At 51.9% G+C, this 21,556-nt stretch overlaps 4 protein-coding genes across 21 annotated transcripts in view, besides 2 other annotated features; 1 reads left to right on the forward strand and 3 right to left on the reverse strand.

Moving 5' to 3' along the window:
- Positions 1-1,437, reverse strand: part of P3R3URF-PIK3R3 (P3R3URF-PIK3R3 readthrough) — a 136,349-nt gene extending 134,912 nt beyond the window's left edge. Inside the window, exon 1 of the mRNA NM_001303427.2 lies at positions 1,177-1,437. Within this exon, the coding sequence (NP_001290356.1) occupies positions 1,177-1,420 (244 nt within the window). The 5' untranslated portion in view covers positions 1,421-1,437. The remainder of the gene's footprint in view (positions 1-1,176) is intronic.
- On the forward strand, positions 36-21,438 carry TSPAN1 (tetraspanin 1). Of its 7 annotated transcripts, none has more exons than XM_047421003.1 (10): positions 36-358; positions 678-796; positions 5,475-5,607; positions 6,049-6,113; positions 9,140-9,346; positions 9,543-9,617; positions 9,734-9,832; positions 9,909-10,064; positions 10,174-10,257; positions 21,151-21,438. In XM_047421003.1, exons 4-10 carry the CDS (start codon positions 6,057-6,059, stop codon positions 21,247-21,249), a joined length of 777 nt encoding a protein of 258 aa, XP_047276959.1. In that variant the 5' UTR covers positions 36-358; positions 678-796; positions 5,475-5,607; positions 6,049-6,056; the 3' UTR covers positions 21,250-21,438. The 7 variants fall into 7 exon arrangements, with proteins under 7 accessions (XP_047276959.1, XP_047276878.1, XP_047276938.1 ...); XM_047420922.1 differs by lacking the exon at positions 678-796 and adding an exon at positions 2,608-2,770; XM_047420982.1 differs by lacking the exon at positions 678-796 and adding an exon at positions 2,635-2,770.
- Positions 435-1,437, reverse strand: P3R3URF (PIK3R3 upstream open reading frame). Its single transcript, NM_001328655.2, has 2 exons — positions 1,177-1,437; positions 435-578 (listed from the first exon to the last, which is right to left on the reverse strand). The coding sequence occupies exons 1-2, from the start codon at positions 1,418-1,420 to the stop codon at positions 535-537; spliced, it is 288 nt and encodes a 95-aa protein (NP_001315584.1). The 5' UTR covers positions 1,421-1,437; the 3' UTR covers positions 435-534.
- Positions 4,456-4,555: an enhancer, noted in NCBI's record as "active region_994". NCBI's record gives its function as "activates an Ori minimal core promoter by ATAC-STARR-seq in GM12878 lymphoblastoid cells {active_cell/tissue: GM12878}" and the evidence as "EXISTENCE:reporter gene assay evidence [ECO:0000049][PMID:35858748]".
- Positions 9,546-9,595: an enhancer, noted in NCBI's record as "active region_995". NCBI's record gives its function as "activates an Ori minimal core promoter by ATAC-STARR-seq in GM12878 lymphoblastoid cells {active_cell/tissue: GM12878}" and the evidence as "EXISTENCE:reporter gene assay evidence [ECO:0000049][PMID:35858748]".
- POMGNT1 (protein O-linked mannose N-acetylglucosaminyltransferase 1 (beta 1,2-)) overlaps positions 13,632-21,556 on the reverse strand; it is a 31,623-nt gene continuing 23,698 nt past the window's right edge. For 5 of the 12 annotated variants that reach the window (NM_017739.4, NM_001438691.1, NM_001437653.1 and 2 more), the window contains 18 exons: positions 20,961-21,026; positions 20,760-20,873; positions 19,793-19,910; positions 19,502-19,600; positions 19,223-19,350; positions 18,804-18,874; positions 18,513-18,588; positions 18,254-18,337; positions 18,123-18,164; positions 17,849-17,907; positions 17,467-17,539; positions 17,257-17,385; positions 17,047-17,172; positions 15,669-15,733; positions 15,422-15,466; positions 14,803-14,938; positions 14,407-14,516; positions 13,632-14,306 (listed from right to left, as the gene is read on the reverse strand). In NM_017739.4, the coding sequence (NP_060209.4) occupies positions 14,219-14,306; positions 14,407-14,516; positions 14,803-14,938; positions 15,422-15,466; positions 15,669-15,733; positions 17,047-17,172; positions 17,257-17,385; positions 17,467-17,539; positions 17,849-17,907; positions 18,123-18,164; positions 18,254-18,337; positions 18,513-18,588; positions 18,804-18,874; positions 19,223-19,350; positions 19,502-19,600; positions 19,793-19,910; positions 20,760-20,873; positions 20,961-21,026 (1,629 nt within the window). In that variant the 3' untranslated portion in view covers positions 13,632-14,218. The remainder of the gene's footprint in view (positions 14,307-14,406; positions 14,517-14,802; positions 14,939-15,421; positions 15,467-15,668; positions 15,734-17,046; positions 17,173-17,256; positions 17,386-17,466; positions 17,540-17,848; positions 17,908-18,122; positions 18,165-18,253; positions 18,338-18,512; positions 18,589-18,803; positions 18,875-19,222; positions 19,351-19,501; positions 19,601-19,792; positions 19,911-20,759; positions 20,874-20,960; positions 21,027-21,556) is intronic. The other 7 variants (NM_001438686.1, NM_001438688.1, NM_001410783.1 and 4 more) reach the window with 3 other exon arrangements.

Consider the following 21,556-nt stretch of genomic DNA (forward strand, 5'->3'; position numbering starts at 1 on the left):
GCCACATCTACTGATACTCCTATTCTCCCGGCCTCAGACACACACACCAGCAGCTACACCTACACGCTGACCATCACAGGCACACAGAGGCACATCCACCTCACATCCACCTCATACTTGTGTACTCTCAGGGTTCAGTCTTTCATCCTATCCCTCTCTGATCTGTGCCTCCCAATACCTTCCAAGATGTTTACAGAGACCCTTCTCCCTGTGCAGTTAGGAGTGTAAGGCAAGAGAGCCCCTACTTCATGGGGCAGATCAAGAGCTGAGACCAAAGATGGTCTATGTTGCTGACCTTGTCCTGTCCTCCTGCTGTCTTAAACTATGATCCCTGCTGCGGTCACTGAAGCCTTTCCCTGTAAGTATTCAGCCATAACCCTCCCCTCACGCCCTGCATAGTCAGCTGGTTAACACCTCTGTGTGGAATAAGGCAGTTTGAGCAGAATGACTGTATTTGTTGTTCACCACCCACACGGCCCCTAGGAGATGCAGGTCCAGGGCAAACCAAGCTTCTGGGCTAGCTTCTGGGCACTTCTAGAGGATCAGAAAAATCCCAGGTTGCCTGAGATGTCTGAGAACTGAGGAGAGGAAGGAGAGGGAAGAGTTTGAGGAAGGAAGCAGTTCTGGAAGTTCCCTGCCTCTTGGATTCAGCCCCTCCCCAAACCCTCTGCTTCCAGCCAATCCATCCTCCATTAAGGCTGTCAGCACTTTGGGGTGCCTGCCATCAGGAGTCCCCCATATATGTAGGGGTGCTATTTCACAGAGATCATCCTTTGGCGTGCCTAAACAGAACCAGGTAGGGAAATCTTCACTGGCTCTGGTTTTTTTTTTTTTTTCTTGAGACAGAGTCTAGCTCTGTCACCCAGGCTGGAGTGCAGTGGCGCGATCTTGGCTCACTGCAACCTCTGCCTCCCGGGTTCAAGCAATTCTCCTGCCTCAGCCTCCCAAGTAGCTGGGACTAAAGGCGTGTGCCACCACGCCCGGCTAATTTTTTTTTGTATTTTTAGTAGAGATGGGATTTCACCGTGTTAGCCAGGATGGTCTCGATCTCCTGACCTTGTGATCTGCCCGCCTTGGCCTCCCAAAGTGCCGGGATTACAGGCATGAGCCACCGCACCCAGCCTAGTGGCTCTGTTTTTTAAAACCCCACCCTGGCTCACAGGCCCCCTGGCTAACCTTGAGGTGGGAAGATCCACACTATGGTGGTGTCAGTGTGGGTGTTGTTGATACCCATGGCCCTGGTGGCAGGATTGATGGCTGCACTGCTGGCAGTTCGACCTCGGAGACCCTGTTGATATCTTCTGCGGCTACACTTGAACATCCTGGGAAATCGGGGCCTGGGCCAGCCCATACCTGGCCTGCGGTAGGGGGAACGCATGCCCTGGGGCCGAGGGCCACGGACAAGCCGAGATGGCCCCATGGGCACAGGGAGCTTCTGCAGTGTGCCTGGGGGGTGCTGTTGGCCAGGGTAGCTGAGGCCTCTATGACATACAAAGTCTGCATAAGGGCAGGGCCCTTTATTACAAGTCGTGGGCCCTGGCCCCTCCTCATGGGTCAGGCTCCTTCACAATCTTCTTTATTGGGTCTGGCCTAAAAGCCAGCCCAAGAGCCAGACAGCCTCAGTTTGGCCCCTTGGGAAAAGAGGCCCTAGAGGCGGAACTCACTTCCTCACTTTCTCACTTATCCATATAGTAACAATATTAACAATGTTTTTTGAGCACTTACTACGTGCCAGACACTGTGCTGAGCACTTTACCAACGTTATCTCATTTAATCTCAGCTACTTTACAAGGATATGCCATCATTATACCTATTTATATACAGTCAATTCTCATTATTCCCAGTAATGTTCTATAAAGTCGCCACAAACACTAAATACTGAACAAAGGGTAAATGCAAGGTTAGGTTCCTGAAACCCTCTGGTCACAATATTTTTGTCAACTGATCTATACATATAACCTGATTTTATGTGTGGAGACACCTTATTTAATATATATTGTTGGCCAGGCATGGTGGCTCAAGCCTGTAATCCCAGCACTTTGGGAGGCCGAGGTGGGCAGATCACCTGAGGTCAGGAGTTCAAGACTAGCCTGGTTAACATGGCAAAACCCCATCTCTACTAAAAATACAAAAATTAGCTGGGTGTGGTGGTGGGTGCCTGTAGTCCCAGCTACTCAGGAGGCTGAGACAGGAGAATAGCTTGAACCCAGGAGGTGGAGATTGCAGTGAGCCCAGATTGCACCATTGCACTCCAGCCTGGGCAACAAGAGTGAAACTCTGTCTCAAAAAAAAAAAAAATATATCTATCTATCTATCTATCTATCTATCTAACTATCTATCTATATTTGAGTCATTGACATTGAACTCACAGCCAACAGCATTATAACTTGTGCCTGAATGAAACTTATCTAAAGCACATATTTCCCCTATAAGGCACATCACAGCCTTCTTGCACTTAGAAAGACTAGAGAGCACTTCAGCACTACAACTGGGGACCATTTTAGACAGTAAAATCACCAGCAAAAAACACCAAAAAATGTGAGAATATGCGTCACTAAATAGACCACCAAAAAGCACATTTGTTTACTCTATGAAAACTGAAATAAGAAGACAGAGAGTCCTCTTGCTCAACAGACCTCAGCTGGAAATACGTGTGTTGGACGGCTGAAATTTTTTGCCTTTCTGCTCATGTCCATGAATGACTGCAAAAGTACCACAAGTACTGGTTTGGGAATTACAAATAAATTTCAGTAAGCAGGCAAATTCACAGGTATGGAATCTGTGAATAAGGAGGATCCACTGTATAAGGAAACTGGGGCTCAGTGAGGTGAAGTCACACAATTAGAGGCAGGCAGGAAGCAAATCCATGATGATCAAGATCCAAAACCCAGAGCACTTAACTCTCATTATTCTGCACTCATTCACTCAGGAAATGTTCACTGACAACTTCTTATGTGCCAAGCACCAGGGCCATAGATGAATGTAATCTGGTCCCAATTCTTCCTGAGAATGAAACAGAAAGGTTCCAGGTGCGGTGGCTCACGCCTGTAATCCCAGCACTTTGGGAGCCCGAGGTGGGTGGATGACTTGAGGTCAGGAGCTCGAGAGCAGCCTGGTCAACATGGTGAAACCCTGTCTCTACTAAAAATACAAAAATTAGCTGGGTGTGGTGGTGTGCACCTATAATACCAGCTACTCAGGAGGCTGAGGCAGGAGAATCGCTTGAAACTGGGAGGCGGAGGTTGCAGTGAGCCAAGATTGCGCCACTGCATTCCAGCCTGGGCAACAGAGTGAGATTCTGTCAAAAAAAAAAAAAATAGACCTTCTCCTTCTCCTTCCACTCCTCAGTCCCTTCTTCCTTTCCCCCTTACTCTGCTCCTCAAATGCCCCCTTCCCAACTTCATCCTCCTTTCTGTTTGTGGAGGACTCTGTGGCACCCTTAGTACCACCCTCACAAACCTCATCTTTCCCCCATCCCCTCCTCCAGCCTCTACTCTTGCCATCCTCAGTCTTAAAATATGACCTTGCTTCCACCAACTTCTAGCAACTGTAACTATAAACCGACCTGCCCCTGCTCCTCCTCTTCCTCAGGTCAGACCAAGGCCTCTTCCCTTGCTCTTTATGGAAGCCAGCCTTGTCTGCCTCTTTAGAGATTCCATCAGTGTAGACAGTCTGCTTGGTGGTTAAGATGTAGACTCTGGTGCCAGACTAACTGGGATTGAATCCTGGCTCTGCCACTTACAGGCTTTGTGATCATGGCAAGTACCTGACCCTTTGGTGCTTCTATTTCCCCATATTTAAAAATGGAGATCAGAAAGTCTATCTCATGGGATGGTTGTGAAGAGGAAAAAAAGCCTTAATATATGCAAGACATTTAAAATAAGATCAGTATTATTAGTGTAGTCTGTAATACTATTAGCCCCTCTCTCTTCTGTCTCTTCAGCTGCCTCCTTTCACTATAAAAACAAAACAAACTTAGAAATCCACTTCCTCAGCTAGGCACAGTGGCTGATGCCTGTAATCCCATCACTTTGGGAGGCTGAGGCAGAGGATTACTTGAGCCCAGTTCAAGACCAGCCTGGATAGCATAGCAAGACCTCATCTGTTTAAAAAAAAAAAATTTGCTTGAGTGCCGGCAAATACCTGTGGTCCCAGCTACTTGGGAGGCTGAGGATCATTTGAGCTCAGGAGGTCAAGGCTGCAGTGAGCTGTGATGTTGCCACTACACTCCAACCTGGGCAACAGAGCAAGACCCTGTCTCAGAAAAAAAAAAAAAAAAATCAACTTCCTCCATCTCATAGCCCCACTGCCTGTGACTCTCTCGACTTTGACCTTCTTGCTCTGTGCTCATTCCCTACTGTCCCTTCCTTCTAGAGCAGGAAGAAAATCTCATTTGAAAAGCCCAGAACTATTCTGTTACACAGAAGACCAGGAAAGAGAAGTTTAAAACCAAGTCTAAGAAAAGTCCCCAGGGTCACACAGTTCATAAGCGACAGAGCCAGGATTCCAGCACCTGGTCTGAATGACCCAGAAGCCAGGACTTTTCCCCCGCACCTCTACATCAGGCGTGCTGGAGCAGGAAGCGGTCAGGCAGCCCCACTAGGAGTAACAAAGATGGGATCACAGAGCCTTGGAACTGGGGGTGGCTCCTTCATGAGACCATGGTGCCACCTACTGGCAGAAAGAGAAGGGGTGTACACAGAGCGCTAAGAGAAGACTGGGAAGGAGAAAAAGAAAAAGATGGGGAAGGAGAGGAGATGGAAAGATGAAGGGAGGGGAAAAATGGGGAATGTGAGGTTTCATGGAGGGAAGAGGATTAGGAACTATTTGCTACTCGCAGGAGAGAGCGGAAGCTGCCAAATCTCAGTCATTTCCTTGAAAGTGAGTGAGAGACAGAGAAAGAGAAAGAGGGAGTGTGTGTGTGTGTGTGTGTGTGTTTGTGTGTGTGTGTGAGTGAAAGAGATACTTAAGTACGTACATCAGATATTATTCTGTTGTTTGTTAGTTGCTGGGAGTCAGTCCACAAAGAATTTAGTGTGCGTGTGTGCGCACGGACGCACACACACACATGCATTCAGGAACACTAGCACATGTTTATGTATGTAACTGGGTGCTTGCTGTATGAACATATGGATGGCAGCATGAGCAGATGCATGTGCATGTGAGCATGAGCACAGAGGGTATGTATGAGTGTATCAGCAGATGCAGGGTAAGAAGCACATTACACTGTTGTGGTGGAGGGCACGCAGACATTCTGGGAAGCCACTTGCCCCACCCCTGGGCTGCTTCTTCTTGAGATCAGGAGGGGCGTTGCCCAGGGCTGGTGTTGCCAGGTGGAGGCCTGCTGAGGCAGTGGTTGTGGGGATCGGTCTCCAGGCAGCAGGGGGCAGCAGGGTCAAGGAGAGGCTAACTGGCCACGGGTGGGGCCAGCAGGCGGGCAGAAGGAGGCTTTAAAGCGCCTACCCTGCCTGCAGGTGAGCAGTGGTGTGTGAGAGCCAGGCGTCCCTCTGCCTGCCCACTCAGTGGCAACACCCGGGAGCTGTTTTGTCCTTTGTGGAGCCTCAGCAGTTCCCTCTTTCAGAACTCACTGCCAAGAGCCCTGAACAGGTAATGGGATAGGGATACAGATTATCCTGTGAAGTGATATCGATCTGGAAACAGGTCTGGGGAGCTGGAGGGGCTCTAGTGAGGGTTCTGGGAGGGTCTGGGGTTAGTGTGGGGGGGAGCACAGGATATACAGGTGCTAGGAAAGAGCATGGAGTGACCTGCAGTGTGGGAGTCAGGCTGGGTGTGCAGGTGGAGGAACCTGGGGTGTTAGGATCTCAGAGTGTCAGGTGCTGGTGGAGGTCCTGGGTAGTATAGAGGGGTAAGGGTGTTAGGATAGAAACTGGGAAAAGGTCTGTGTCAGACCAGGTACAGGAGAAGCTTGGTGAGATATGGGTTCAGGATCCTGGGGTCTGGCATATCTGGCTGAATATCTGAAGCCAGGGCCAGCCCAGGTGGGCCCAGGGGAAACAAGGCCCTAACTTGCACATGTCTACCTCCCAGGAGCCACCATGCAGTGCTTCAGCTTCATTAAGACCATGATGATCCTCTTCAATTTGCTCATCTTTGTAAGTACGGACATTGTGGACTCTTTGGGGCTCCCTATAGGAGCAGGTCACAAGCTGAGTAGAGACTAAGCTGGGGAATGGGAGACTGCTATGCCCAGGCTTCGTCCTGCATGTGTCCCCTTATGAGTGGGATGCAAAGGTCTCCCCAAATGCTGCTGATTCCTAGTCCCAGCAGCAGCCAGGCTGCCATACAGGTGCGTGTGTGAAAAAGGGGATGGAGAAGCTAGGGGCACCCCCTCTCTCCTACAAAGCTTTAGCCTAGGCTTCAGGCAGGGCAGAGTAAGCTACCAGGAATGATTCTCCACCCTTTATAGGCACTGGGGGCCCAGAAAATAGAAGGGCTCCACCCAAGTTTACCTACCACAGAAGGAAATTCAGTACAGAGGAAATTCTTCTGTATGACGGGGAGCTGAAAGGAGGGAGGGCCTACCTCTCATCAGAGCAACAGTCCTTATTCATTCGACAAACATTCATTGTCTAGGATACCATGATGGGTGCTGGGGTGGCAGGTAAGCAAAGCCTTTCTCTGCCCTGAAGGATCTCAGCTCCGATAAGCCAGATAGGCAGATAATAACAACACAGTGTGTTTGGGCTTAGGACGGAGGTTATGGGAGCCTGAACTCAGCCTGGTTGGAGAATACTTCCTGGAGGAAATAGCTGAAGCTGGGAAATTGCACTTGGTGGGGGAGTTATAAAGCATGCATAAAGGGCCAGAAGTAGTGAAACTTGATATCGTTCAGAAAACCAGAAACAGATTGCATAGGGCATGTTTGAGAAGCTGAGCCATGAGGCGTAAATCCTGGAGATGGTGGTGGAGATAGGGAGAAACGGACAAAGTGGACAAAGGACAAAGCTCTAGGATGATGGCTGAGGGGTAGAAGAAGGGGCAAGGGAGACAGAGGTCTTGGAGATGACGCCCATATCTCTGGCATGAGCAACCCAGATGGCAGGGGGTGGGGCCTGGTTTGTGGGAAGGGGTGTCCCACTAGCAGATGTGTACCCAGTGGAGGTGCAGCTCAGATTGGAGCTGGCCATGGGTATTTGAAAATCATGTGCGCACAGGTAGCCACTGAAGCCATGGGAGTGGATGAGAACACTTGGAAAGTGAACTCTGGGAAACCCAATTTATTAGGGATAAGCAAAAAAAAAAAAAGCCACTGTGAAGGAGATGGAGAAGGAGCAGTGGGAGGGGGAGAGGAAAACAAGGAGAGTAGTACACTAACCACATTAGAGTAGGTTAGTGTAAGTGAAAGTGAGGAAGTGGGCCAGGTGCAGTAGCTCACAACTGTAATCCCAGCACTCTGGGAAGCTGAGGCGGGCAGATTAGTTGAGCTCAGGAGTTCGAGACCAGCCTGGCCAATATGGTGAAACCCCGTCTCTACTAAAAATACAAAAATTAGCTGGATGTGGTGGCGCATGCCTGTAATCCCAGCTACTTGGGAGGCTGAGGAAGGACAATCACTTGAACCCAGGAGGCGGAGGTTGCAGTGAGCCAAGATCACACCACTGCACTCCAGCCTGGGCGACAGAGTTTATGTATGTATTGATTAGTTTAGAAGCGTGGGTAGACTCTCTAGTTCTGATGTGGTCTGTGCCTTGGGCTTCCTTCGGCTGCAGGGAACTTGTGTTTTTGTTGTTGTTGTTGTTGTTGTTTGTTTCTTTGAGACAGGATCTTGCTTTGTCACCAAAGCTGGAGTGCAGTGGCATGATCATGGCTTACTGCAGCGTCAACCTCCTGGGCTCAAGGGATTCCCCTACCTCACTCAGCCTCCTGAGTATCTAGGACTACAGGAGTGTGCCACCATGCTCAGCTAATTAAAAAAAATTTTTTTTGTAGAGGCGGTCTCACTATATTGCCCAGGCTGGTCTCGAACTCCTGGACTTAAGTGATTCTCCCACCTCTGCCTCCCAAAGTGCGGGGATTACAGGCATGAGCCACTGTGCCAGTCCTGAACTAGTCTTTATCCCTGTATCTGGAGGAAGCAATAGGATTCCAGGGATTTGGACAGGAGAGGCTCTGCCCTGAGAGGGTTAAAGGCAAATCCGGTTTGATTTCTGGCCTCTGTTACCCAGACCTTGCCAGGCTGGGCAAAGCAGGATAGGGCAGACCTCCAGCTCCATGAAATTTGACCCTGCAGGCTAGAAGTCCAGCTTTCTGTCCTTGGGCAAACATGCCTGGAATCCAGCCACAATCTGCCACCTCACTTCCCGTTCTAGCCTCAGTTTTTATAGCTGGCAAGTGAGGACTAGTCACCAAGGTGGTGTCAGGCTGATTCATCCACTGAAGCCCTGGGCCGGGAGGCTTTCCTCTAAGATCTGTGGGAACTGCGCAGGGCCCTCCTCAATCTAGGCCTCAGAATTCCCCCTGAGGTTTGGAGTTGAGCTAGACAGCCTTTAAGAGAAGCTCTGGCTGTATTCCCACTGGTACCTCACTTTCCTCTTGTGAGGCAAGGAGGTCTTGTCTACATGAGGGGCGGGCCTGAAGTTGGATTCTGGAGGGGAGCCAAATGGGGCCTCAGGTGGGTGAACCTTCTCAACCTCCTCCCTCTCCAAGGTTGCCAGCAGGTGGAACCTCAGCCTCGCCTCCATTACTATGGTGACTATTGAGCCTGTTCTGCTACCACCCCCGTCTCCACCTATCAGAGGACAGAGGTGTTCTAGGCACCCATAGCCCAGAAAGGAAATAGGAGGCTGGGCCCTCACCTGCCTGTTTTCAATCCTAGCTATGTGGCAGGACCCTGGCAGCAGTGAGGGAAAGTCTTGCCCCTCTGCCCACCCTGAGGATATTTCTAGAACCCCTGATCTCCTTTATATCTGCCCAGGTGTGCAGCCTGGTCCTAGCTATGCATATCCCAGCTCCCATTTTTCTGGCTCTAGAGGATGTTTCCCTCCTTACAGGATGAGGTTTTAGACTCCCTAGCCAATAAAGAGGGAAGTTTCTCGGCTCCCATCCTTCTTACTCAGCTGTGTGGTAGTAAGCTACTTGCCAGCACTGTTTAAGGCCTGCCTGACCTCTCTCTCCCCAGCTGTGTGGTGCAGCCCTGTTGGCAGTGGGCATCTGGGTGTCAATCGATGGGGCATCCTTTCTGAAGATCTTCGGGCCACTGTCGTCCAGTGCCATGCAGTTTGTCAACGTGGGCTACTTCCTCATCGCAGCCGGCGTTGTGGTCTTTGCTCTTGGTTTCCTGGGCTGCTATGGTGCTAAGACTGAGAGCAAGTGTGCCCTCGTGACGGTGTGTGAAACCCAGCTCCACAGGCTGATGACCAAGAGTCCCCTCGCCCTTGACACCAGGCCCTGGGATTCCCAAACCCTGCTTTGGACCCCCCTAGGCTCAGGCTTCTGTCTCACTTTTCCGGGGGGGGGATTAGGGCAAGGAGGGCATGAGGGACTGTCTCTCCCTAAAACCCAGACCCCTGTTCCCCACTCAGTTCTTCTTCATCCTCCTCCTCATCTTCATTGCTGAGGTTGCAGCTGCTGTGGTCGCCTTGGTGTACACCACAATGGTGAGACACTGGGATGGAGGAAGGGAAGAAGATTGGGCAAAACCCTGGGAGTGGGCTGTGGCCTGTGAATGGCCACCTTCTGTACCAGCCCCTAAACACTGGCCTGCCTCACCCAGGCTGAGCACTTCCTGACGTTGCTGGTAGTGCCTGCCATCAAGAAAGATTATGGTTCCCAGGAAGACTTCACTCAAGTGTGGAACACCACCATGAAAGGGGTAAGGTTGGCTGGGGGAGGTTTTAGGGTGGAGAGAAAGAAGCAAGGCCCCACCTCCACCCTCATCTTGTCTCCAGCTCAAGTGCTGTGGCTTCACCAACTATACGGATTTTGAGGACTCACCCTACTTCAAAGAGAACAGTGCCTTTCCCCCATTCTGTTGCAATGACAACGTCACCAACACAGCCAATGAAACCTGCACCAAGCAAAAGGCTCACGACCAAAAAGTAGAGGTGTGGGCTGGCATGAGTGGGTGGGGACTGTTTTCATGGCCTCAGAGTGGCAAACGGGGATGGGAGTAGGGCAGCTGCCAACTATAAATGCTCTTTTCTCTTCCTGAAGGGTTGCTTCAATCAGCTTTTGTATGACATCCGAACTAATGCAGTCACCGTGGGTGGTGTGGCAGCTGGAATTGGGGGCCTCGAGGTAAGCAGATGAGGAGGCTGGGACTGGGACATGGGCATGAGACCAGGGCTGCTCAACCCATCTGAGGCCTCTCTGGAGGAAACAGACTTCTAACTGGGCCTCAGGTAGGGTGTCTGTGGGACAGGCTTCAGGATCCCTATCATGTTCCCTCATCTCTCCCTGTTCCTCCCTCTCCAGCTGGCTGCCATGATTGTGTCCATGTATCTGTACTGCAATCTACAATAAGTCCACTTCTGCCTCTGCCACTACTGCTGCCACATGGGAACTGTGAAGAGGCACCCTGGCAAGCAGCAGTGATTGGGGGAGGGGACAGGATCTAACAATGTCACTTGGGCCAGAATGGACCTGCCCTTTCTGCTCCAGACTTGGGGCTAGATAGGGACCACTCCTTTTAGGCGATGCCTGACTTTCCTTCCATTGGTGGGTGGATGGGTGGGGGGCATTCCAGAGCCTCTAAGGTAGCCAGTTCTGTTGCCCATTCCCCCAGTCTATTAAACCCTTGATATGCCCCCTAGGCCTAGTGGTGATCCCAGTGCTCTACTGGGGGATGAGAGAAAGGCATTTTATAGCCTGGGCATAAGTGAAATCAGCAGAGCCTCTGGGTGGATGTGTAGAAGGCACTTCAAAATGCATAAACCTGTTACAATGTTGCCAGTTGGACTCTTCATGTATCCTTGGGGAGAGGGGCCTAAACTGGCCACGGATTCCTGTGGGGCTGCCAACTCAGAAGGCCCTGGAAAGGAGGGAAGTAGGGTGGGGTTGGGGGTCAGAAGTGGTTATTTCTCCCCTTCATTTGGGTTCCAGGCCTTGGAGGGAAACTAAGAGGGATGGCTGAGAGGGCATGAAGAAGTACAGTTGGGTTAGGCCAGTCTGCCTCCTTATAAAGGGGAGAACTTTGGACTGAAACTACCCCCTCCTGGGTAGGGGCACTGGACTGGAAAGCTATGAAAATAACAAGCTTGTGACGAATTCTTACCAGGGCAATGGGAAAGGGTCACTCCTTAGGTTCTGGGAAGCCCTTCAGGAGCCCCCTTCCTAGGGTCCAGGCTGCCTGCCTTTCCCACTCAGGCAAAACCCCAGATCTGTCCCTGCTTCTGGGATCTCAGCAAGCACTTCATTTTTTCGTTGCTGCTGGCCTACCTGGTGTTCTTCAGACCTCACCTCTTTTTCTTTTCTTTTCTTTTTTTTTTTTTTTTTTTGGGACAGAGTTTCGCTCTTGTTGCCCAGGCTGGAGTGCAATGGTGTGATCTCGGCTCACTGCGGACTCTGCCTCCGGGTTCAAGCAGTTCTCCTGCCTCAGCCTCCTGAGTAGCTGGGATTACAGGCACCTGCCACCATGCCCGGCTAATTTTTGTGTTTTTTTTTTTTTTTTTTTGAGAGAGTCTCGCTGTCGCCCAGGCTGGAGTGCAGTGGCGCGATCTCGGCTCACTGCAGGCTCCGCCCCCTGGGGTTCACGCCATTCTCCTGCCTCAGCCTCCCGAGTAGCTGGCACTACAGGCGCCCGCCACCTCGCCCGGGTAATTTTTTGAATTTTTAGTAGAGACGGGGTTTCACTGTGTTAGCCAGGATGGTCTTGATCTCCTGACCTCGTGATCCACTCACCTCGGCCTCCCAAAGTGCTGGGATTACAGGCATGAGCCACCGTGCCCGGCCACGCCCGGCTAACTTTTTATATTTTTAGTAGAGACAGGGTTTCACCATGTTGGCCAGGCTGGTCTCGAACTCCTGACCTCAGGTGATCCACATGCCTCAGCCTCCCAAAGAGCTGGGATTACAGGCGTGAGCCACCTCACCTGACCTAGACCTCATCTCTTCTTTAGCCCTAACTATCCCTATGCTCCAGGTAGGAAACTAGGGATCGGAAAGGCCAAGATACTTGCCCCAGTCCCACAGGCTTCTGTGAAGAGCTCAGCCTAGATTTGGGCCCAGAACTCCAGCACCTGGTGTAGTCCTGGCTGACATGGTACTAGTTCCACTTGAAGGGGCAGCTGGCCAGAATGTCTGATATAGACCTGATCACTGTTGAGCCAGGAGTGAGAGGCCTGAGGGAGGCTATGGCAAGAGGGTACAGTGTCTGCTACCAAGCAAAGCCCAGCCTAACAAACCAGTCCCCCTCCTTACTTCCCTTTGACCCCTGTAACTCTCTTCCTGAGCTTTTCCAGGGCAGCCCAGAACCACCACCCCCTTGCTGAGCCCAGAAAGGAAGAGGGACCTGGCCAGAACCAAACAGTGCCTTAGAGCTGGTCTGTGAGGGCCAGACCAGGAGCCTGCTAGGGTGCGGGACAGGGGGAGGAGCTAGCCTGCCTCACCCCTTCACCACCATACTGTGCCTCTCACACTTCTCCTCTGCCGTGTGCCTGTGTGGAGGCTGCATGGGATTTGTTTGCCCAGGGCGGGCCTCTACCTCATCATGGGCTAATTGCTGCTCAACCTGGCTGTTGTGCCACCTCAGGCACTATATCCAGCTCCAACAAACACTGAAGGCGTCAGGGTGGCGAGATATGTCCAAGCGACATACCACCCATGCTGTCACCGAGTTGGGCTCCAAGCACCTGTGAAAGAGGCAGGGCAGAGAGCAGGCAGGAGGGCTGGAGTTCCAGCTGGAGTTCTGTACTTGTACAGAGGCAGGCAGACCCTTTCTGAAGAGGTGCTCCACACTCATCCTCCTGACATTAGGCCCTTCACAGATCCCTTAAATGTTCTTTTCCCTGCCGTAGGCTTTCTCATTCACTCCCTCTGGACAATCCCATCCATTTTCTGGTGCCCCTATGACTAACTTAGATCTTCCTAACCTCTTTGGGTTACTGGCTATGTGAGAATCTGATGAAGACCATGACCCATTTCTCCACAAAAATGCCCAGATAGAGAATTCTGAATAGCAAAGTGCTCTAAGGGCCATAGACACCCTTGCTCCTACATCTCCATCTGCACCCTAGCCCGTCTCTTGAATGATGCCTGCCCAGTCCTGTCCCATCCACTTCCTTCCCACCCCTACTATGCACACCTGCTCTCTCATTTCCTCTTCCAACTCCCCAGTATCCCTTTTTGTTCTCTCCTGCTCTGTCTCTGGGGACAGGTGCCCGGCCCAGGCAAGATAAGCAGGAACCCGGCTGGTGGTTAAACGGTGGGGAAGAGGTAGGGTGGCTGCTCCAAGCCTCAAGTAGGGCGGGGCTAAAGTCAAGCTGTCCTAGGGTAGAGTTGGGGAAAAACCTTGGAGTTTGAGACTCAGGCATCCCCTGGTGGCCAAATGGCCCCAAATGGAAGATAAACTCTGTGGAGGACAGTAAGGAAAACTCACCATCCAACACAAGTATTCTCTCCACCACTTCCCTCCAGCACCCCCCTGACACACAAAATCACAATCACAAGACATCCCCAGAGGGCTTCTCCTTTTTTAATCAATGACCAACTTATCCAGCTTTGGAAATCTGGACAAAGAGAAGGCTGAGAGGAGGCCTGGTCCAGTGTCTAAGGGTCTCTGAGTGAGTCTGTGTCAGCATGTGGGCCCCAGCTGGGCCTGTCCATGGGTTGGGCACAGCAGTTTCCTGAGTAAGAGCCAGCCCCACCCTCAGGGCAGCATTCCAGCCCAAAAAGAAATCCAGGCCCTCCAGGTTCGGCCTGTTTTCAAGGCCCTCAGGACAGTCAATAAATAGGTTAGATTCTGAGCCAGGCCTGGAAAGTGAGGGTATTCAAAGGGCAGGATGAGCTGCTAGGGATCGTAATGATTCCCAGGTACTCTCCTGCCCTTCTCCAACAAGGAAGTAAATAAATAGACTTTTAACTCAGGAACGGGGTGTTGGAGCAGGGGAACCCTCCCCTTGGAGTTAGTAATTAAGTCTCATGTTAAAAACAAGGTAGCCCCAGCCCCTACCAGCATCTACAAAATCCTACAGGATGGAGGGAAGGGCTAGCCAGCCTGGGGGTACACAGTACCCAGCCCCGCAGGGTCCTGGAGGAGGTCTCATGTCTGTTCTGGGGCTCCTGGGGCTCCCTCCTCCTTTGGGGGTGGCTCCAGGAAAATTGGGGTGACTGAGGGTGGCTTCTTCACTCTGGGAAAATAATACAAGAATGTATAGAGAAGAAGCCATTAGCTATATCCCTGGATCTCACTAGGCCTCCTGTTTCCCAGGGCAGAAAAGGGTCACTCACGAGTAGGGGGAAGCCGGGACCCCCACCATCAGGAAGTGGTTCTTCTTCCGAAACAATCTCCACAGGCCCCGATGGTTGCCACGCACATCCAGGTCCCAGATATGGAGGCACTAGTGAGGGTGGGATGGAGACAGAGACATGGGTCAGAGAGCTGTAGGGAGGGGTCACTGACGACCCTTTGGCCCAGCCCCCACCCCTCCTCAGAAACCACCTCAATTTGTAAGAGATAGCATCTTTTAGAATATGAATTTGGACAAGGAGGTTGGAAGAGGTGTTCTAAGAGTATAAAGAGGAGGTTCTGAGGTTGAAGATTCCAGAGCAAAGGCTCCCTGGATCTTGGGGCAGTATGTGTGTGAGGGGGAGGGGTTCTCCAGGGTGGGCATGGTATTGGAGCACCTTGGCAAGCTGGGTCCAGGTGGTGAAGTCATCATCTTTCTCCATTCGAATAAAGGCCACGTAGGTGTGGCCCTCTGTGTCTGGCAGGAAAGAGTCTTCACAAGGGTTCTTGCTGTGGTCCAGAACCTCAGCCTCACTGCAGTAGAGGGTGGGAGAATATAGCCAAGACAGGGCCCACTTCATGGGTGTGTCCCACAGGACCCTGTACTTGGTTGAATGCTCTGCTGTTGCCACCTTGAAGTTCTTTTTTTTTTTTTTTTTTTGAGATGGAGTCTTGCTCTGTCGCCCAGGCTGGAGTCTCCTGCCTCAGCCTCCCAAGTAGCTGGGACTACAGGCGCCTGCCACCACGCCCGGCTAATTTTTTGTATTTTTAGTAGAGACAGGGTTTCACCGTGTTAGCCAGGATGGTCTCGATCTCCTGACCTCATGATCCACCCACCTCGGCCTCCCAAAGTGCTGGGATTACAGGCGTGAGCCACCGCGCCCGGCCTGAAGTTCCTAATGTTTGAGATGAGGGCCCTGATTTTCATTTTGCACAGGACCCTGTAAATTATGGGGCCAAGATCCCCAGTATTTGACTCTTTGCTCCCTGCTACACCCCAATTGTCCTAGGCCATACCTGAGCAGCCTGTGAACTTCCACTTCATAAGCTTCTTTCTTCAGACTGAAGAGGAGGGAGAAATGGGTCAGGGGAGTGGGCAGGCCCTCAGGTCCCATGGGTAGCACTGAGCAGGGCAAGGGGTCACATGGGAATCTGTAGCCGCAGGGCTGGAGTAAACACACAGGCCCAGCATTGGAAGGGACTTTCAGGGACTGGCCTCCAAATCTCCTAGATATCCACCCCTTGCCCTGCTGCCAGCCCCAACCTGTCCACATTCCTGAGCTGGACACCTGGAACCGTGTTGAACTTGTGCTTCTTGAAGTAGGCCTCCTGGAGTGGGTATGAGAGTGAAAATCAGCACCTCACATTGTCTGGCCCACACCCACTTGCTGACCAGCCAGACATCTATAAGACACACAAATGAAGTCCTAGACCTGTAAAGAGCCCTCTAATTTCCCACCGTCTTCTCCATCCTCTTTGCAGCATCCTCAGCAAGCTCTTACTAGCTTTAATTTGGCCTCCACCATTGCTGGAGAGCTCATGCTGTCACGGCAGCTCACACTACTGCACCACAGACCCATGAACTAGCAGTCCCTGCCTCTTGTAGTTCTCCCTGGGCCTGCTGTTCTAGAGCCACAGATGTCAGAAACAGGCCCTGCAGGAGGTGGTGGGCAAAGGGACGGGCTGGGCTGGGAAGGAAAAAACTACTTTGACTCTGGTACTGAGAGTGACCTGAGGGAAGCGCCTGCCCCTCTCTGGGAGAGGAATGGGGCTCGCGTATTAGTCAGCCTCTGAGGGACCTCTGGCTTCTAGGAGGTTCCAAGCTGGACGCTATTCATTCCTTTGGGCTGGGCTGGCTCAAGGCCTCCCTTGCTGTAACTGGGGAATGGTCCTCTGAATGCAGCCAGGTGGGTTGGCGGTACCTAAGGACTTCCCTGTTCTCCTCAGGCTGAAGCATAGGCTCCAGCACTTGCCAAAACAGGAAAGGGCAGAGATTGCAGGGCTGGACCAGTACTTAGAGGCAGAAATACTCTCCCCAGACACCCACAGTCTAGTGCTAAAAATAGTAAAAATAAAAACAATACCAGCTGACCCTTATATATGTTTATAATTCAAAGCACTTTACATATATTGACTCATTTAAACCTCAAAATATCGTAACCCAGTGAGGTAGTAGTATTTTATCCTCTTTTTTTTTGAGATGGAGTCTCGCTCTGTCACCTAGGCTGGAGTGCAGTGGCGTGATCTTGGCTCACAGCAAGCTTCGCCTCCTGGGTTCACGCCATTCTCCTGCCTCAGCCTCCCAAGTAGCTGGGACTACAGGCGCCCATCACCAGGCCCGGCTAATTTTTTGTATTTTTAGTAGAGATGGGGTTTCACCATGTTAGCCAGGATGGTCTCGATCTCCTGACCTTGTGATCCACCCGCATCGGCCTCCCAAAGTGCTGGGATTACAGGCGTGAGCCACCGCGCCCAGCCCTTTATCCTCATTTTTCAGATAAAGAAACTGAGGCAAAAATAGGATAGCTCTTTCCCCAAGGTTACATGGCTAGCAAGTAGCAGAGCTAAGATTGCTTCAGAGTCCATGTTCTTGTTCTTGACTGTCATGCCACACTGTGCCCTGCTCCCTGCCTCCCACTCACGTGAAAGTAGCCATTCATGTTGAGGCCGACGATGCCAAAGTGGTAGGATCGGGAAACGTCAGGGATGATGCACTCTCGGCCCCGGCGTTGTTCAGGCATCCGCATCCACATGTCCCAATCCCAGAGCTGGCAGACATGGACCACGATGAAGGTTAAGATGTTTCGAGTTGGTAGGGGACTCCAGCCCCCTCACCCTACCCTGACAGTTACCTTTTCCGGTGTAGGCCACTTGGGCTCAAGCTCCTCCTTGTACAAGGACCTCCTGAGCACCCAGCCCAGCCCAGGCATGGTCTCCACACGGTACAGTAGTGCTGGGTCCTCAGCCGTGTGTTCATACCCCTGGGGACAGGGTGCCATAGTGGGAGGTATTAGCTGAGGCCTCATAAACTCGCCTGCTAAACCCTGGTCATTCCAGCCTACCTGGTCATTCCAGGCAGAGATGCAGTACAGGCTGTCATCCTCCTCCAGTAGGTGGATGGATTGGCTCAGGAAACTGAGAGAGGCAGGGTCAAAGAGTTCAGGGAGGGACAAGGATAAATCTAGTCACACAGAGATGCTAGAATTGCTGGAGCTGGGTCTCAGGAGCACCTCCTTCCTGGAGTACCTCCTTCCCCCAAATCCCCACTGTCTCCATTCATCCACTGTACCTTCAACAGCAGCCCCAACACCTGCCATCCTACCTTTGCCCAGGCTTCGCCCCCACTTGTGAGCTCATGTCCTCCAGAAAGCTCTCTAGGACACCTCACTGACTCTTTCCCTGCAGACTGAGGGACCTCAACTGAAACCTAGAGACTCCCCTCACCTGAAAAAATCCACAGCAATGTCCAGGTCCTCTTCCAGAACCACAGCAAACTTGGCCTCCTAGAAGGGGAATGGGACATCATGGTCCCAAAGGGGTCTCTCCATCCTGTGATCTCCTTTGCCCCCAACCCTCTTCTTGCAGGCAGCATTACCCCCATTTTCCAGATGTGAAGGATGAGGCCCAGTGAGGGGAAGAGCTTGCCACGTAACAGGCCCAGACCTTATGCCCATGTTTCCCCCCTCCCAGGCCCAAGAGTTGTATCCTTAGTACTCACCGGAAACAGGTTGAAAGTGGCAGTGAGGCTGGCCTTGTAGTGCTGGGAGTGGGGTGGGAATAGGGCACATGAGCTTTAGGGTAGAAGGCAGAGCCAGGTGTCTGCCCCATCCCCACTTGCCTATGCAGTACCTGAGACACGCGGGCATTCTTGATGCTGATGGGAGTATGCTGGATGCCCCTCAGACCAAACAGTGCCACCACATCCATGGGTTCCTGGGGGACATGGCCACTGCTCACCATGTGAGGTCACTTTCCCTCTGCCCACCTCTGCAATCCAAGGCCTTCACATTTCACAGCCCTTGCCTGGGCGGTCTCCCTTGCCCGTCCCTGGCAATCACTGCTGCTCCATGTTGTACTCCACCCGAGGCACCCCCCAAGTCCTGCTCACCTCATAGTAGCCGTCAATGAAAACTGTTATCATCTGAGGAGACACCCCCTGGGCTGAAAGCAGAGAGCGCAGCATCCTGGGGAGCCCAGGGATAGGTTAGGGTCACTTCATCACCCCTCAACTCAGGTTCCCCTGTGTTTACAGCTGGGCCCAGAGTCCCTATGCTTACCCACAGAGGTGAATGCGTCTAGAATCTATTGCCTTTCTGCCCACCTCAAGAGTTCCTCCTGGAGGTAGATGACCTAAGCACCCTCCTGTTCAGTGCTGGGTATAGCCCATTCCCAGGCTTACCTGTACAGGTAATTGGGTCGGTTCCCTGCAATGACAGCCACAGGCACATTGAGGACCTTGTTGTCTGGGAGCTGTGGGAGAAATAGCGTTTAGCTCTTGCCTTATTCCCCCTTCAAACTGGGATCCCCACCTAGGGAAGACTTCTCAGGTGAGGGTAGGTGCAGACTGGAGTAGACAGGGAAGGGATAGAGGATCTTCCCTGTTCTGGGCTCTCCACACACTCAGCCCAACTCTAGCGCTGAGCTTTACTCACATGGCCTGCCCCTTCACCCCAGCCCTGTCTTTCAGAGCGCAGTGTAAATCCTGCCCCTGGTTCTCTCCCAGGCTCAGGTAGGGAAAGCCCAACCTAGATCATTCCTGGGGCCCCCCTGCTGAGCTGGGAAGGAGTCCAAACCTCACTGTCTTAAGGCCCCACTCACTGGGTCAGGGCTGAACTCGATGGGTGTGGGGTCCTTGCAGCTGCATACACTTCCATAGCCCTCAACTTTGCTGCAGAAGCGCCGGCGGCGACGGTTCAGCTCTGTGTCTGCCCAGTGGCACTCTGCCTCTGAGGGAAGGATGCGGTTGTCATGGAGGCATGGGGCCAGCAAGGTTTGAAGAGCCCCAGGCACACAATCAAAGGAATAAAGCTCCACAGAGAGATCTAAATGCCCACCCCCAGCCCAGGCCCTGCCCCATCCATGCTCCACTAACTCCACCTTCTGCTGAGCTCAATGGCACATCTGTCTTCAGCAGGACTGGGTCCCCCCAGGAAGAGAGGGCAGGTGATTTAGAATGTTTCTCCCCGAAGACAGGACCTGGCAGGAGGCAGGAATGAGGGCCATGGGGGCCCAGACACCAGTTTGGGGGCTTTTTCCCATCTCCCTGCCTACTTTCATCCAACCCACTGCCACTGGCTCCTATTTGTTCCCCACCCCACCCCATCTCCTAGGGTTCTGCTCCTCCCAGGCTCTTGATACTACAGAGTGGATGGCCTCTGATGCCGGCACCTCCTTTTCGTCCCACGAAGGCCCATGTGTCCCTCCAGCCCAGGGCAGGGCCAGCCTGGCTGCCCAGGCTCCTCAGCAGAGCCTTGGCTGTGTCCTTGAGGTGGAAGGAGCCCTCATCCTGGGGGACCAGAGAAGGCAGTTAGCCTGACTGGCATGGTTCCAGGAGACCTGGCCTCACAGAGCACGAACTATGTAGCAACCTTTTACTTAAAATAGCTCATTACATTATTGCAATAACCCTCTATGGTTACTCTCTTTCACAGATAAAATAATAACTGAAGGCTTAGAGATTCTAAGGTCATCCAGCTAATAAGTCCTTTCCACAAACCCACACGATCTGCACCTCTCTCTCCCGCCACTCTCTGCCTTCTTTTCCAACCACTCTCCTACTCTCCTCCCTTATTCTGCTCCACCTCGACTAGCATCTTTGCTGTTCCTCAAATATGCCGTGTACCTTCCCACTATAGGGGCTTTGCACTTGCCATTCTTTCCACCTGGAATGCTCTTCCTCCAGATACTCACCTGGCTCACTCCTCAATTCCTCAGCTTTCTGCTCACATATCATCTCCTTGCAGGGGCCTTCTCTTTCTAAAATGTCCCCTCCCCTCTATCATTCATTATCCCCTGCTTTATTTTCTTCTTTATACAAGTTATCATTTACTAGCATTATCCACATTTACTTGGCTGTTTCTGTTGACCTCCCACTGCTGGAATATAAGCTCCATGAGGGTGGGGACTCTGTCTTGTTTCCCATTGTATCTTCAGCACCCAGAGAAGTACCTGGCATACAGCTGTTGCTCAATAACTATTTGCTGAATTAATACAAATGTTAAGGCTGAGATTGGAACCTGAGTAACCTTCCTTCAGAGAATCTTCCCACTATGTTATATGAGGGGCAGAGAAGCCGGGGCTAGAAGCAGGGTTGGAGCTAGGGAGTAGGGGTCAGGGTCAGGACAGAATAACTGACCTTGACAGTGCAGATGAGCACTCGGCCGGGCGCTACCATGTTGAGGAATAGCACCATGGCCTCATCCTCATGAGGTGAGTACGTGTCAAACACACGTTTTGCCATCACGTGGCCCTGGCAGGGGATATACTTCTGGTGAGTTGGTGTCATCAGCAAGAGCCCAGCTCCAGCCCTCTGGGTCACCCACCCCTAGAAACTCACCGTGGCCTGGTTGAGGACAATGACATGGATGCCCCGGCCCTGCTCCCGGGCCTCATCCTCCAGCACCTACACAGTGGCAGAGACAAAGTCCAGCTTTTCACTCTGGCATTCAAGGTGTCTCTGTCTTAGGGGTACTTAAAACACCAGCTGCTTGAAACATCACCTCCTGCCTATGTTTCTGTTCACACAGTTCTTTTCCAACTCAGCTCGAAGGCCACCTCTTCCAGAAAGCCTCTATAGCACTCCCATCAGAAGAGATCACGTCTTTCTACAACCCTCCCCTCCATGACTTTCATGGCTCTTAGAGCCTCTGCTGTCTCTGCTTCATCCTGGAAGTATCACAATCCTCCACCACACTGAACCCCTCAAGGTAGGGCCAGGTCTGATTACTTTCAGGTCCCCAGTGCCCAGCACAAGGCTGAGGCCAAAGAAAGGACCAGGGGATGGTTATAAAATAAATCAATGAATTGACTGCCTACTATTATGAATGATTACTTTTGAGATCCCACTACATACAAGACACTTCACAAACTTTTCATTGAATCCTGACAAGTAGAAATCATTAGTCCCAGTCTATAGATAAGGAATCGAGGACT

This window comes from Homo sapiens, chromosome 1, assembly GCF_000001405.40.
Source record: "Homo sapiens chromosome 1, GRCh38.p14 Primary Assembly".
Classification (NCBI taxonomy): Eukaryota; Metazoa; Chordata; class Mammalia; order Primates; family Hominidae; genus Homo; species Homo sapiens.

Coding starts and splice junctions, on each gene's coding strand:
- P3R3URF (NM_001328655.2), bottom strand. CDS start 1,420: ATGGGGCCATCTCGGCTTGTCCGTGGCCCTCGGCCCCAGGGCATGCGT. Junction 579..1,176: donor GTGGATCTTCCCACCTCAAG/GTTAGCCAGGGG, acceptor TCCTCTCCTCAG/TTCTCAGACATCTCAGGCAA.
- TSPAN1 (XM_047421003.1), top strand. CDS start 6,057: ATGCAGTGCTTCAGCTTCATTAAGACCATGATGATCCTCTTCAATTTG. Junction 9,347..9,542: donor GCAAGTGTGCCCTCGTGACG/GTGTGTGAAACC, acceptor TTCCCCACTCAG/TTCTTCTTCATCCTCCTCCT. Junction 10,065..10,173: donor CTCACGACCAAAAAGTAGAG/GTGTGGGCTGGC, acceptor CTCTTCCTGAAG/GGTTGCTTCAATCAGCTTTT.